The 14,903-nt window shown below is 51.2% G+C and overlaps 5 annotated features.

Moving 5' to 3' along the window:
• Window positions 2,423–2,482: an enhancer, noted in NCBI's record as "active region_20912". NCBI's record gives its function as "activates an Ori minimal core promoter by ATAC-STARR-seq in GM12878 lymphoblastoid cells {active_cell/tissue: GM12878}" and the evidence as "EXISTENCE:reporter gene assay evidence [ECO:0000049][PMID:35858748]".
• Window positions 4,441–5,403: an enhancer, noted in NCBI's record as "NANOG-H3K27ac-H3K4me1 hESC enhancer chr3:184377157-184378119 (GRCh37/hg19 assembly coordinates)". NCBI's record gives its function as "activates a minimal SCP1, AML or CMV promoter by ChIP-STARR-seq in primed H9 embryonic stem cells {active_cell/tissue: H9 hESC(primed)}" and the evidence as "EXISTENCE:reporter gene assay evidence [ECO:0000049][PMID:30033119]".
• Window positions 5,404–6,365: an enhancer, noted in NCBI's record as "H3K27ac-H3K4me1 hESC enhancer chr3:184378120-184379081 (GRCh37/hg19 assembly coordinates)". NCBI's record gives its function as "activates a minimal SCP1, AML or CMV promoter by ChIP-STARR-seq in primed H9 embryonic stem cells {active_cell/tissue: H9 hESC(primed)}" and the evidence as "EXISTENCE:reporter gene assay evidence [ECO:0000049][PMID:30033119]".
• Window positions 8,558–9,058: an enhancer, noted in NCBI's record as "H3K4me1 hESC enhancer chr3:184381274-184381774 (GRCh37/hg19 assembly coordinates)". NCBI's record gives its function as "activates a minimal SCP1, AML or CMV promoter by ChIP-STARR-seq in naive H9 embryonic stem cells {active_cell/tissue: H9 hESC(naive)}" and the evidence as "EXISTENCE:reporter gene assay evidence [ECO:0000049][PMID:30033119]".
• Window positions 9,059–9,559: an enhancer, noted in NCBI's record as "H3K4me1 hESC enhancer chr3:184381775-184382275 (GRCh37/hg19 assembly coordinates)". NCBI's record gives its function as "activates a minimal SCP1, AML or CMV promoter by ChIP-STARR-seq in naive H9 embryonic stem cells {active_cell/tissue: H9 hESC(naive)}" and the evidence as "EXISTENCE:reporter gene assay evidence [ECO:0000049][PMID:30033119]".

Here is a 14,903-nt window from a genome sequence, read left to right on the forward strand (position 1 = left end):
ACCTTACCCTTAATGGTCACCTAGACTTGTTGGGGTCTGGAGAAACAAGAGGTAGCCCAGTGGTTCTCAAGCTTGAGCATGCATCAGGATCACCTGGAGGGCTTGTTCAAACCAGATTGTTGGACCCCATGCCAAGAGTTTCTGATGCAGCCGATCTGAGGTGGGATCTGATGCTGATGTTGCTGGTCCAGGGACACACTTTGAAAACCACTAAGATAAACAAAATGCCACAGGAGCCCAGAAGAGGGAGATGTCTTTTTTGGCACGCAGAAGCAGGGTAGAATGACATAGTTGCAGGTGAGGCTGAGGGGCATGTCAGGTAGAGGAGGCAGCCCAGGAGGAAATTAGGGGGCTCATTTATGGAGCTGAACTGCAACGTCCGTCTAAGGAACAGGGCAGAACAGGCTGGCAAGGTGGACCAGAACCCCAGTCAAACATGGGCTAGCTTAGAAATGAAGAGCAGACGCTCAGAATCAGAGACATGGGTTCAAATCCTGGTCTGCCTCTAATTAGCTGTGTGACCTAAGAGAGATGATCTAAACTCTCAGAGCCTCGGTTCCATAATCTGTAAACTGGGGCTAATATTAGTACCCACTCTAAGGATCTTTAGTGAGGGAATGCAGCCTGGCACAGAGTAAGAGCCAGTAGGAGCCAGCACCAGGGTTGCCATGGAGCACTAGGCAGAAGGCACATGGCTGACAAAGCTTCTGGCTCCTGTGGGTTGAAGTGGAGCACATCAGGCCTGGGCTGGGACTTGGGCAACCAGCTAGACAGACAGTATTTTGTGAAACTCCTCCTGAGGACACTTGGGCTCTTGGTTCAGAGTTACAGGCCTCCTTCTCAAGGCCATTGCTTTCCTAAGTCAGGTTGCTCCCCGGCCCTCCTCCCATCCTTCCTGAGCCCCTGCCAAACCCAAGAGATGGCTGTGGAAGCTCCACTAGGACCAGGGAAGGAGCCTGGCCTGGCCTCTGGATTTATTTGCCTGCCTTTCAGAATGATCAGCCAGCATCCAACGCAGCAAATGGCAGCAGCTTTTGGATTTTTTTTTTTTAAGCAAGAAAGTGAAGGGGGATTTAGTCTATCTGTGTCAAGGAAAGAGAATTCCGGCTGGGCGCGGAGGCTCACGCCTGTAATCCCAGCACTTTGGGAGGTTGAGGAGGGCGGATCACTAGGTCAGGAGTTTGAGACCAGCCTGGCCAACATGGTGAAACCCCATCTCTACTAAAAGTACAAAAATTAGCTGGGCATGGTGGCACTCGCCTGTAATCCCAGCTTCTGGGGAGGCTGAGGCAGGAGAATTGCTTGAATCCAGGAGGCAGAGGCTGCAGTGAGCCGAGATAGTGCTACTGCACTCCAGCCTGGGTGACAAAACAAGATTCCATCTCAAAAAAAAAAAAAAAAAAAAAAAAAGGGAATTCATTCTTTCCCCCTGTGTTCTGAGATAAAATGGTTCATTTCCATGAAAATTGAAACTCAGAGATGAATCTTTGCTGCAGTGCCTTTTGGACTGTGGGCTAAATGGGGAGGGAGCAATGTGCACGGGCTAGAGAACTAACTGTGTCTTCCCCGCCCTTTCCTGGTGCCACAGAGGACCCCAGGGCATGGGCACTGGCTTCTGTGTGGCCCTGCATGGTTCTTTGTCTCCGCTTTCTGTCTGTGTGGTTTGAATGGAGCTCAGGATAAAGCCAAGCCTGATCATCTTGGGGGAAGTATTGCTCGTGGTTGGAAATCATGAGTAAATTTTGAAAAATAGTCAAAGAAATTCTTGCTTAGGGAAGCAAATTTCCCAGCAGAGGCGGAAAAAAAGCCAACTGGTAAAGTCCAATAGGGATAATCAGAAATAGTCTCTGGATTATTCACCTTTGGCATCATCAGCCCCCTTCCCAGTCTTCCCTGCAGCATGGGTAACCTGGAGATACCCATGTTCAGGTGATTGTCTAGGAAGAATCAACTTAGACATGAAGCCAAATTCCTGAGCAGTTTCCACTGTGCTCCAGATTCCCTCATGCTGCCTTCTCTAACTGCTTCTTCATCCAAATGCAGTTCACATTATGTATTTGCTCCCTGGGGGCTCTTGGCCCTGGCAGATGTTTGCGGCAGAACCCTGGGACTGATTCAAGGGTTAGACCTTCTAGGCCCTGCGTGGGGAGGTACAGCTTAAAGGTGTAGGTGGATTTATCTAATCGGCCAAGTGTTGCCTGAGTGTCTGAATGAACAAAAGGACAGTGAATTCCCCTCTCTTAGCCTTGCAAATCAGTCCCCCCGCTTGCCCAGCCCATGTGGTGATGTTATTTATCTCCCTTGACACTGAGAAGAGTAAATGAGGCAGCAACCCAGGTAGGAGGAGGAGATCTGGTTCAGGACCTGGCTGAGTCATTCCTCTCTCCCTCCCACTTATCCCTGCCCCTCCATCATAGCTTTAATTCAGCCTTTATCCTCCTTGACTCAGGTAGACATTGGTCTTCCTGCCTCCACTCTTGTATCTCCAAGCTTCCCTATAGGGCAGCCTTTTTTTTTTTTTTTCAGACGGATCTCACTGTGTTCCCCAGGCTGGAATTCAGTGGGGTGATCACGGCTTACTGTAGCCTCAACCACCTGGGCTCAAGCGATCCTCCCACGTCATCCTCCCGAGCAGCTGGGACCACAGGCATGCGCCACTATGTCTGACTAATTTCTAGATTTTTTGTAGAGATGAGATCTCTCTGTTGTCTAGACTGGTCTTGAATGCCTAGTCTCAAGCCATCCTCCTTCCTCAGCCTCCCAAAGTGTTGGGATTACATGTGTGGATCATGGCACCTGGCCTAGGGTAAGCTTTTTAAAAAGTAAATCTGTGCATGTGATTGCTTGGGATTTATACCCAAGAACAACCAGATGCGCAGCTCAGCAGAAGACTGGAAGGGGGATTGCAGGTGGAGGCTCAGTCTGGGTTAGGCCCCTTCCTTAGTGCGAAGGGGCCAGGTAAGTCTTCTGTCTCCAAGTGTGGGTTGGTCCCTGCTGATCCAGGTTGGGGTTTGGGGGAGGACTCATCGCCCTTTGAGAATGTTATCACAAGGGACAACCTGAAGTCATAAGCTGCCCACTTTTTTTTTTTTTTTTTTTTTTAAGACAGAGTCTTGCTCTGTCACCCAGGCTGGAGTGCAATGGCATGATCTTGGCTCACTGCAGCCTCCACCTCCCGGGTTCAAGCTATTCTCCTGCCTCAGCCCCCTGAGTAGCTGGGACTATAGGCGCGCATCACCATGCCTGGCTAATTTTTGTATTTTTAGTAGAGACAGGGTTTCACCATGTTGGCCAGGCTGGTCTTGAACTCCTGACCTCAGGTAATCCAACTGCCATGGCCTCCCAAAGTGCAGGAATTACAGGCGTGAGCCACTGCGCCCGGCCATCTGCCCATGTCTTTAACTCCCCTAGAGGAGAACACTCCTCTCTAAAGCCCCTACAATACTGTCTGGGCTCTGCAAGGTGTGGGCCTCCCTGGATGTTTGTGGAATGACTCTAAGGCATCTGGGAATGCCCCAGGGTCAAGGCAGATTTGGAGTCGGGGGTGAGAATGTATCTCATTTCTCTCCCAGGCTCTCCCCAATTCCATGGGACCCAGGAGTAGCAGAGCTGCCTCTGAGAGTTGACAGGCTTATTTTTAGTTTGGATTCTAGTTCGCAAGCCGGATTGTTTTTCCGTTTTGCCTAATTTGGGCCAGGTCCTAGTGGTGTCTCCTAGGACCCTGGCTTGGGCTGTGAAAGGTCTGCAGGACTCAAGCCTTGGGGCAGGGAAGTCCCACCAGCTTCCTGTCCCAGGGCATTGGACACCCTGGGGCCTGGACCAGCTGCCCCAGTTGGAAGAGGAAGGAACCTGGGCCTCCCCGTGCTGAGCCTTTGGTGATTTGGGGTGGGAGGGGCGTAGACTTAACATCCTGTTTAAATTTGGCATTAGCCGAATTTTTTAACAGGGGTTATGACCCCCCTCCTCCCTCTCCCAGGCCTTCCTTACATACTCCTCTAATCAATTTTTAACTTCTGGCTCTAACTCTGCCCTTTACCTTGGAGCATTGGGCCTGACCGAGGGAGGAGCAGTCTGATTTCTTGAATCCTGCCTCTGAACAGAACTGGCCAAAGGGAGGCTGCCGCGAAGCCCAAGCGACCACTGGGAGACCAGAAGATGGGAAGAAGAGAGGAGAAAAAGAATAGGGAGGAGGATGATAGGAGAGGAAAGAAAAGAGAGGTGTGTGTGTGTGTGTGTGTGTGTGTGTGTGTGTGTGTGTGTTGGGGGGAGGTTGGGATTGTGTTTTAGACACGTGACTGTGCTGGGGCTCAGCAGGAGGTGCAGGAGGCCCAGTCGAAAGACAAGCGAGCAGGACAAAGGCCTGATTACACCCAGGCACGATGGCCATTGAGCCCAGTCCCCAGTCGGCCATCTGAGTAGAGGCTCTGCCGAGCAAACATCCAGCCCCTCTGTGACTCCCAGGCGGAGAAGCCCACATTCCTGCCCGGCAAAGGCCGCTTTAATCAAGCCTCCAGATCCTTCCTGCAGCCGCCTGGGGGGGACTGTAACGCTAAACACATTAGTGTGTGAGATTGAAAGGTAACACATTCTCATGGAAGCCCCCAGAATAATGGGCCTCGGGTCTGGGTTTCATTTGGAGGAACTGTGCGGTGGGAATTTCTCTAATCAAATAAAAGGAAAATGAAAAACTCTATCGTTCTCAAACTTTAATGCTCTTAATTGCATTAATTCGAAAAACATACAAGGTCTTTCTGAGTATGGTGTTGGAGCCTATAGGAAAAGAAGCTCAGGGCCTGGCTGGGGGAAAGGCAGGGGTCTGATGGCAGAGAAGGGTGCCCGGGAGGGACAGGCAGTGTGTCCAGGGCTTGAAGGATGGCCTGGCAGAGACCCAAGTGACAGGCGGTTTGGCCTCTGTCCCCCCATGGCCACTCCCAGCCTCGGTATTTCCGGGGCCTCCGTGGTGGCTGAAGAGGCCACTTGGCTTGGACCTGCTGCTGTCACTCACTCCTCATCTGCCCAGACCCAAGGGGGAAGGGCAGATCTTGTCTGCTCTGTCAGTGCCCACAGCCCAGGGCCAGCTGCTCCTCTGACAGCACACCCCGCCCGGATGCCTCCAGAAGCCCAAACCCAACCTGCCCCTTCATTGCAGTCCCAGTGTGCTGGACCTGCCAGCCTTCCCCAGCCTCTTGCTGCCTAGACCCAGCTCCACATAGGATGCGGTAGAAAGAAACAGCCTGCACAGGGGCGTGGAGCCTGTCCGGAGGTGGCTAGAGATTCCTGAAGCCTAAGGAGTTGTAGGCTTCCTCCGCTGCCCTCCTGCTGCAGGGCCTGGAGTCAGCAGGGGCCAAGCCTGTTTCTCACCTGCACTTCCCAGGGCCTGCCCACAGTGTCAGGGTGGAGGAACAATAACTGAGCCTGCAGAGAATGTGGGGCCTGGGGGTTCCTAACCATTCTGGGACACGGCCTTCCTAGAAAATCTGGTGAGGACTAGAGGCTGCGTATCAGAAAAGTGCAGACACAGGCCAGGCGCAGTGGCTCATGCCTGTAATCCCAGCACTTTGGGAGGCCGAGGCGGGTGGATCACCTGAGGTCGGGAGTTCAGGATCAGCCTGACCAACATGGAGAAACCCCGTCTCTACTAAAAATACGAAATTAGGCAGGCATGGTGGCACATGCCTGTAATCCCAGCTACTCGGGAGGCTGAGGTAGGAGAATTGCTTGAACCCAGGAGGCAGAGGTTGCGGTGAGCCAAGATCACACCACTGCATTCCAACCTGGGCAACAAGAGCAAAACTCCGTCTCAAAAAAAAAAAAAAATCGAAAAGTGCAGACACATGTGCGCGTGCACGCGCGCGCACACACACACACACGGTTTGCACATGAGTGTAGAGGTCTTACAAACACCTGTTCTGCGTGTTCCAGGAGCTAGGTGAAGTCCTGCTCCTGAGTCTTGGCAGGGACATTGCCTTGCTAGGAGTCCTTCCAGGGGAGCAGGATTCTGGCCGCAGAGGCTGGGTGCGAGATAGCAGTGAGGAGAGCTCTCTGGAGCTGAGGAGGGTCTGAAAGACTGAGGAAGTTCAGGCCTGTGACACACAGGAAGATGGCCACAGACCAGGAAGCCCGTAGGTAGGGGTTTAACTGCAGCTTCTCCACACTCCACCTGTGTGACTTTGAGGCAAGTGAAGTTATTGTGTAGGAATAATAGATACCCCACCAGGACTGTGGGAGGATTGAAAAGCTATGCTGCATGCCAGGCAGGCAGGAGGGGCTCAGGAAGTGTTGGTTCCCCTTGGGACCGCAGTCCTTAGATGACAAAGAGGGGCACGAGGGTTGGCAGTGCGCACATAGGAGCTTCAGGGCTTTGTTTTTAGTGGCTACCACAAAGGGCCTTCTTTCTCCATCCCATAGTTTCCTCCTTGAATCACTGTTGCCTTGTGGCTCCCTCAACCTGGAACTCCCATCTTTTTTTTTTTTTTTCTGAGACACCAGGCTGGAGTGCAGTGGCACAATCTCAGCTCACTGCAACCTCCACCTCCCAGGTTCAAGTGATTCTCCTGCTTCAGCCTCCCAAGTAGCTGAGATTACAGGCACCCGCCACCACGCCTGCCTGGCTAATTTTTCATATTTTTGGTAGAGATAGGGTTTTACCATGTTGGCCAGGCTGCTTTTTTTTTTTTTTTTTTCTCAGCTCACTGCAACCTCTGCCTCCCAGGTTCAAGCCATTCTCCTGCCTCAGCCTTCCTAGTAGCTGGGATTACAGGCATGTGCCACCACACCTGGCTAATTTTGTATTTTTTTTAGTAGAGATGGGGTTTCTCCATGTTGGTCAGGCTGGTCTCGAACTCCCGACCTCAGGTGATCCGCCCACCTTGGTCTCCCAAAGTGCTTGCATTACAGGCATGAGCCACCGTGCCCGGCCTGGCCAGGCTGGTCTTGAACTCCTGACCTCAAGTGATCCGCCTGCCTCTGCCTCCCAAAATGTTGAAATTACAGGCATGAGCCACCGTGCCCAGCCTAGGAACTCCCACCTTTACCTTGAACTTGTAGCGAGCTCATCTCAGTTCTCAAGTGTCATCTGCTCTATGAAGGCCTGTAGAGTCCCTGGGAGAACTAACTCCCCTGGGAGGGAGGCTGGGGATGTGTTATTGTTCCTATTTTCCAGAAAATCGAGACTCTGAGAGGTTGGTTGACTTGCCTGAGGTCACTCAGCAGCAGAATCAGGACTAACATTCCAGGTAACGGCCTCCACTGTCCAGCATCTGCCATGTGCTGGGCCCTGCACTGGGTCCTTTGCATATGTGAGCTTGTTGCATTTCTACCAGAACCTAAGTGGCTTGGCTCCAGGTCCACATTCTTTCCCAACATCACACTGCCTCTCAAAGACAAGGATGGAAAACCACGTTTCCAGGGCTCTTTTAAAATCTTCTTCCTTTGTGAAGAATGTTGTCAGCCATCAGCCAACACCACTTACTCAGAGCTCTGGGCGTGGACTAATGAAGGACACTGTCCTCGTCCTCGCCTGGGCAGAATGCAGGCTCTGAGGGCGGCCAGACCTGCAGCCAGCCCTCCAGGGGGAAAAGGGAGTGAGAGAGGACAAACTGCATCTCACAGGAGTCTTGCCCTCCTGCTGGTTCTGCCACTAACCAGCCCTGGGGCCTTGAGGAAGGGATGCCCCTCTGGCCTCAGTTTCTCTATTTGCACCACAAGGAGCTGGAGGCATAAGGTTTTCTAAGAGCACTCCGGCCCTGGGATTCTAGGATTCTGCGACTTCTGAGAGTGCCTTGGGCTAGCTATGCCTGGGTGCAGGGAGGTGGTGATCAGCGGGGATTCTCATGGAAAAGGTGCCTCGGTCTGCCTTAATCTTGTGGTTTCATTGTCTGCCAGAGCTCAGAACTCAGGAGGGGGGAGCTCCGCTGGGATAAGGGGAGCCCTGGTTGAAGATGATTTACAAAGGGAAGCTGTGCGCAGGTTAGCGGGGCCCGACGGTGTGCTGGGGGGAACAGGCAGATGTGCTCCTTCGGCTGGCAGATGTTATTTCTTAAGAACTTCTGAAGGCAGAGTCCTGCGGGGAGGGAATCTTATGGTCTTGTCTCTCCTATGACCTAATTTAATCATCCCACCTGATCTATTAGGGGAGCATATTGCCCCCTACTTCCCACCCCGTGTCTCCCCGTATTCCCCCATCCCAGCTCAGCAGTCCATCAGGTAGTGGAAGTAAGGTCACCTGGCTGGGACATAGTGGGGCAGAGATGCAAACACAGGCCCGCTGGTGTCAGTGGCCAGGTGCCATCCACTGTGCCATGCCACCCACACCTCATCTCCATTAGGGAGGAGTGCAAATCACAGAACCGGCAGTTGAATTCTAGTACCAAGGAAACTCAGAGAAGGAAACCTCACATGAAAGGGTTGCAAACTGAATACCGGTGTGCCTCAGTTTAAGCAAATCCAATATACCCAAATCTAAAAATAGCTCCTTCTATTGGAGCTCTTTCCCATATGAATTCATTCCCATACGAAAATGAATCACTGGTTCTTTTCTTCAAGAAGCCAACTCTATTAGTGCATTAAAATACAATTCAAGTTGCCAAATGTGATTTCATATACAACCCTCCTCCCGACCCCCACCCCCAATATACTTCTCACTCCTGATCCCAAAGGAACACTCCGCCTTTCATAAAGAGAGGTTCGCCGGCAGTGAGCGGGGCTGGAAACCAACATGGCAAACACATGTCCAGGATTTTCTGAGACTGGCTCACTTTCTAATATTAGGTTTCCATTGTCCCATAAGAACACTTGGAACTTGGGGCCTTGGGGACTGATGTTTTGGTTGGTACAATAAGGTCACCCGGAAGAGGAGGATGCTGTCCTGTCAAACCCATTTTCTACCCTGGCAGGCCTGGTCAGAGGGCAAGCTGGTCAGAGAGGGTGGTGACGGTGGGGAGCCCAGAGGCAAGCCTATGAGGCGGGGGGAGCCACGTGGGGTGAGGGATTTGAGGTATGGGGTGAGTCAGCTGAGAGAGTCAGCATCTTGGGTTCCTGGGATCGATTAGCGAGCAAGCCACGCAAAGCAGGCGGGCTGAAAAGATGCAGGCTCCCTCCATGGGCTCTCTCTGCATGGGAAGCAGGCGGGCGGGGCCCTGGAAGGTGGCCAGGGAAGAGCAGCTCCATGATTAAAGGGTTGGAGACCAGGACTTTTGAAGCGAGACCAGGATGGCTGGTTATTTGCGCATTCATCTCTGGGCCCTGCCTCTACCCCACCCCACTCCACCACCCAGCAACTCAGACCTGCAGCCCAGCCCTGGACCCCATACTGAGCCCTGGGAGGTGGGAGAAGAAGACAAGGATTTCCAAAACGTTGACTGAACACCTGGGGAGTGGTGGCAGGGGCTTTAACACACCAACATCATGAATCCCCCCAACAAGCCCATGGGGCAGGAGACACTAGCTCCGTTTTTACAAGTGTTCAACAAGAGTTGAAAACAAGAGTTGAAATTATTTGCTTAAAGTCACATAGCCAAATGGAATAAGATCCCAGATCTTCTGATTCTACCTCATTAGAGCAAAAGCAGAAGTGACAGAAGAAGGCTGGAGTCCAAGGGCGAGGGTGCGGGCAGGGAAACCTGAACGAGCCCCTCCAGGGACTGCGTTATTTCCCCAGGGTTGTTTACGTGTGAAAGGGTCGTTCTCAAAACAGGAACAGTAGTGAGGTTGCTGTTCTTTACTGAGTACCTATTACCTTTGTGGCATTCTTTTTTTTTTTTTTTTTTTTTTTTGAGACGGAGTCTCACTCTGTCACCCAGGCTGGAGTGCAGTGGCGCGATCTCGGCTCACTGCAAGCTCTGCCTGCTGGGTTCACACTTCTCCTGCCTCAGCCTCCCGAGTAGCTGGGACTACAGGCACCCGCCACCATGCCTGATTAATTTTTTTGTATTTTTAGTAGAGACAGGGTTTCACCCTGTTAAGCCAGGATGGTCTCGATCTCTTGACCTCGTGATCCGCTGGCCTCAGCCTCCCAAAGTGCAGGGATTACAGGGGTGAGCCACCATGCCTGGCCTACGTTTGTGGCATTCTAATCCTTACAACGATTTCCCAGGGTAAGTATTATAATCCCCATTTTACTGATGAGGAAACAGAGACTCAGAGACTCGCCCACAGTCAGGGAACTAATAAAGGGCAGAAGGGTTTGTTCTGCCTTCCATCCCCGCACCGCCCTCTGCACACCCGCATATGGTTGCTGGAGCTGCCTACATGTTGGTGTGTTAAAGCTCCTGCCGCCACACCCCAGGTGTTCAGTCAACGTTTTGGAAATCCTTGTCTTGTTCTCCCACTGCCCAGGGCCCAGCATAGCTCTTATCTATGGGAAGGGAGTTTAGGGAGGGACCCGGGAGTCATTCTGAGAATGTCCTTAGAGCATAGGAGGGTTGCCCCAGGAGGCTGCTGACTGACTAGCTGTATTCCAGCTCCCCAGGCCAATTCACGGCCAGGCTTTGGCTCGTGCTGTTTCCTTCTTGCATTTGTTTTCATGTCAAATCCTACCCATCCTTGAGGACTGGACGCCGATGACTCTTCTTCATAACTCCCCGCTGATCTCCTAACCAGAGCTGTGCACCCCCTCCCTCAACTCTCTGTCTGCCTTTCATGTAGCAGGTAGGACCTGGGGCCTCCCCTATTTATCTGGCTCAAATGGTTGGAAGAGAGAGGGTGGGTTATGTTTAAGGAAGTGCTTCCTGGATGAAATTTCAGAGTGGGGATTCTTGAGTCCCAATCTGGGAAGCTTGAGTGAGTCATAGAGAAATGCTGCTCTTGGTGAGTTGAGTGTGGGGACAGCCTGCCCCCACTCCCAGCATCAGGCACAGGTACAGACCCGGCGGGGCCTCTGCTTTCCCTCACCTTCCTCACAGTCCCGCAGTGTTCCTGTGCATGTGGAGGCCTGGAGATTCGTGCTGGCCACACCAAAACCCTTCCTCTTAATGCTGCGTATCTGTGGCTCCTACATGGTGTTATAGGAAGAATTCAGCTGGGCGCGGTGGCTATGCTGTAATTCCAGCACTTTGGGAGGCTGAGGTGGGTGGATTACCTGAGGTCAGGAGTTCAAGACCAGCCTGGCCAACATGGTGAAACCCCCATCTCTACTAAAAAAACAAAAAATTAGCTAGGCATGGTCATGAGTGCCTGTAATCCCAGCTACTTGGGAGGCTGAGGCAGGAGAATTGCTTGAACCTGGGAGGTGGAGGTTGCAGTGAGCTGAGATCGTGCCATTGCACTCCAGACTGGGCAAGAGAGTGAGAGCGAGACTCCGTCTCAGAAAAAGAAAAAAAAAGAAAGAAAGAACAAACTCAGGACCAGGAGTCTCACCGGGCTGTGGTGGTTTCTCAGCCTGCGTGTGGCCTTGTGAACTTGGGTAAGTCACCTCTTGCTTCTGGGACTCAAAACTGGCCAGTGAGCTTTCCCCTGGGTTTAGGAAATGTAAGGATCAATAATAGAGGGTCCCTGCCTTTAGGAAGCTGACAGTCTAGAGAGGGACACAGCCAAAGAAACAGATTGCTGTAAGTCAATGCAGTTATTTCTGCAATAGAAAGATGAACAGCACCACACTGAGAGGAAATGAGGAGAATCAGAGGATACAGTGACCAACCCTGCCGGGGGCAGTCGGATGAAACCTTACAGAAGAAGTGACGTGAAGCATCACGGGAGTTTGTCATACACAGAAGAGGATGGGAGCACTCGACTGTTGTTTACTTTGAGATTTGCTGGCTGGGGTGCATCACCTGAGCTCTATTCCTGCCTTCTGATAAGGACGTGCCCGAGGTTATTACTTGGCGTTCAGGGAGGGTCCTGGTACCCCTGTGGAAACTCAACTCAGGCACCGTCTACATCCTGGCAAGGCTCAGTTAGAGGGCAGCTCACAAAAGAAATGGCTGGTGGGATAGGAACGGAAACCAGAGAAGGAGGCTGGAGGAGGGAGTTTCAGGAAGTAAATATTCAATAGCATTAAGTGCTACAGGGATCAGGAAAGATGAGGATGGTGAAAAATAAGACAACGTTTGGCATTGAGAAAAAAGACTGGAGGGAAATATAGCAGAATGCTCATGATGGTTGCCTCTGGGTGGTGTGAGGATGCATGCCTGATCCTTTTCCTGCTCCTATGGGCTGCTCTGCACTTGCCAAATTTCCTACAATGAGCATTTATTTGATAACCAAGAAATAGAACAATTGAAACTTGTTTAAAAAAGAAGTCATTGGTGACCTTGGCAGGAGTGGATTCAGTAGAGCTGTACCGACAAGCCAGATTGCAGGGCATTAAGAAAGTAGCAGGGGGTGAGGAAGCAGAAGAAGTGCGTGGAACACTCGGAGAGAGAGCTGGCAGGACATGGAAGGGCAGAGGCGGTTCCGGAGGCAGCCAGGCCAGGTAGGGATGTTTATTCTTAATTTAATGTGGGAGGGACTTTTGAAAGTGATAAAATTTCCTGCATCAAAAATCAGGATCTTATAAAGGACTTTTGTGCCTTTTCTGAATATAAGACAAAGAAGGGCTGGGTGCAGTGGCTCATGCCTGTAATCCCAGCACTTTGGGAGGCCGAGGTGGGTGGATCATTTGAGGTCAGGAGTTCGAGACCAGCCTGGCCAACACGGTGAAACCCCGTCTCTACTAAAAATAAAAAATAAAAAATAAAAAAATTGCCGGGCGCGGTGGCACACACCTGTAATCCCAGTTTCTGGGGAGGCTGAGGCAGAAGAATCACTTGAACCCGGAAGGCCAACGTTGCAGTGAGCTGAAATTGCACCACTGCGCTCCACCCTGGGTGACAGAGCAAGACTCCACCTCAAAAAAATAAATAAATAAATAAATAAAAGGCAAAGAAGGAGAAAATTTATTGGAATTTCTAGGACTTTTCTGTGGATTGTAGAGACAACAGAAAAAAAGAATTATGAAAGTGGGATTGTCCTGGCAAATCTAGGCTTTGAGGTTGTTTATCGTGTGGGTTTCCAGTCAGAGGGGAAGGAACAAGTAAAGAAAAAGATAGAGAGGATGTTAAGAAACAGGGAAGACCCATGTTCACAGCGGCGTTATTCACAATAGACAAACGGTGGACGCAACCCAAGCACCCATCGATAGATGAATGGATCACCAAAATGTAGCACATATACACAATGGAATATTATTCAGCCGTAAGAAGGAAGGGAATTCTGACACATGCCCCAACGTGGATGAACCTCGAGGACATTACGCCAAGGGAAATAAGCCAGCCACAAAAAGACAAATACTGTATGATTCCATTTATATGAGGTATCTAAAACAGTCAGACTCATGGAAACAGCAGAATGGTGGTTGCCAGCGACTGAGGGAAGGAAGAATAGGAAGTTATTGTTGAACAGGTACAGAGTTTCAGTCTGGAAAATGAAAGTTCTGGAGACATTGTGATGACGGTTGCACAACAATCTATAACTTAGTGGCTAAGATAGTCAGTTGTATATTATGTATACTTTAATCATAATTTAAACAAATTAAAAATAAATAGGTAAGTAGAAAGAATTACCCCACTTCCCAGAGAAGTAGGGGAGAAGTGGGGAAGGAAGTCTTCCTGGATGGCAGGACCGTCCCTGAGTGTCCCAACAGGGATGGTTTTGGAAATGTGTAAAGAACACTTTTTGGCTAAGAGCAGTGGTTCATGCCTGTAATCCCAGCACTTTGGGGGACTGAGGTGGGTGGATCACCTGAGGTCAGGAGTTCGAGACCAACATGGCAAAACCCTGTCTCTACTAAAAATACAACAAATAATGGGGCGTGATGGCGGACGCCTGTAATCCCAGCTACTCTGGAGGCTGAGGCATGAGAATCGCTTGAACCCAGGAGGCGGAGGTTTCAGTGAGCAGAGATAGTGCCACTGCACTCCAGTCTGGGCGACAAGAGCGAAACTCCATCTCAAAAAAACAGAACCCTATCTACCCAGAGCACAGAGTGAAGATGGGAAAGGGAGATACAGAAATAGAAGTGGAGGAGGGAACGGGAGTGAGCCCAAGCGCCCAGGTCTATCCCCACCTGCTATGGCTAAGGTTTAGAGAATAGGTTGGACTTATTCACCATTCGTTTGTTCAACGAGGTACAGTACTTCAGCACCAGCATACACATAGCGCCTTTGCGTGAATCAGAGAACAAACACTACCTCTTTCCCAGGCAGATACAGTCTCCTGGGTGCAGGGCTTAGCTAGCAAACAATATCTCTGTGGGAGGGGGGAGTTCAACCCCTACCTGGCCACTTGGCTGACAGCCTCTATATTATAAGCAACTTACACAGATGCATCATCAGCCCTGTGTACCAGGCACTGTGCTAGATTCTGCAGAGTTTTCTTAGCTATAGAAGACCAGTCCGTGCTCTGAACTATCTAATGTTGCAAGTGTTGAAGGAGCCAGGGGAAGAGAGAGGAGGTCTTCGACAGCATGACCCTGAACCTCATGCACTTTGCTTCTGTGGGGTTCTAAGGCCAGGAAGCAGGGATGCAAAAGATGGCAGGAGGGACTGGACTTGGGCCTTCATTGCAAACCCAATGGCAGGTCAAGGCCACGGGGGTGTGGGGAGGGGCTGAAGGGGCTGACTTGGTGTCCAGGCTTGGGAGGAGCCCGGTTTGGCTGGGGAGGAAGGCACCTGGACACTACACACCTGTGTGAGGTGTGCAGGAAGTCTGCCTGCTGCCTGGAGAAGTCAACTTGCTGCTGGTCGCCTTAGGGAGGTGAAGCCTCTCCGTACTAAGCCTGGTATACAGGGAGAGCCGGTCAACTTCGACTCCTCTGAATTATCCCTGGGGCAGAATGCCTGTAACCAATTTTAACCAGAGGCCGGCAGGCCTGGCTGCATCTGATTTGTGCTGCCTTCCCCACTGTCAGCACAAGCAAGATAATGATC

The sequence above is a fragment of the Homo sapiens genome, chromosome 3 (genome assembly GCF_000001405.40).
Source record: "Homo sapiens chromosome 3, GRCh38.p14 Primary Assembly".
Classification (NCBI taxonomy): Eukaryota; Metazoa; Chordata; class Mammalia; order Primates; family Hominidae; genus Homo; species Homo sapiens.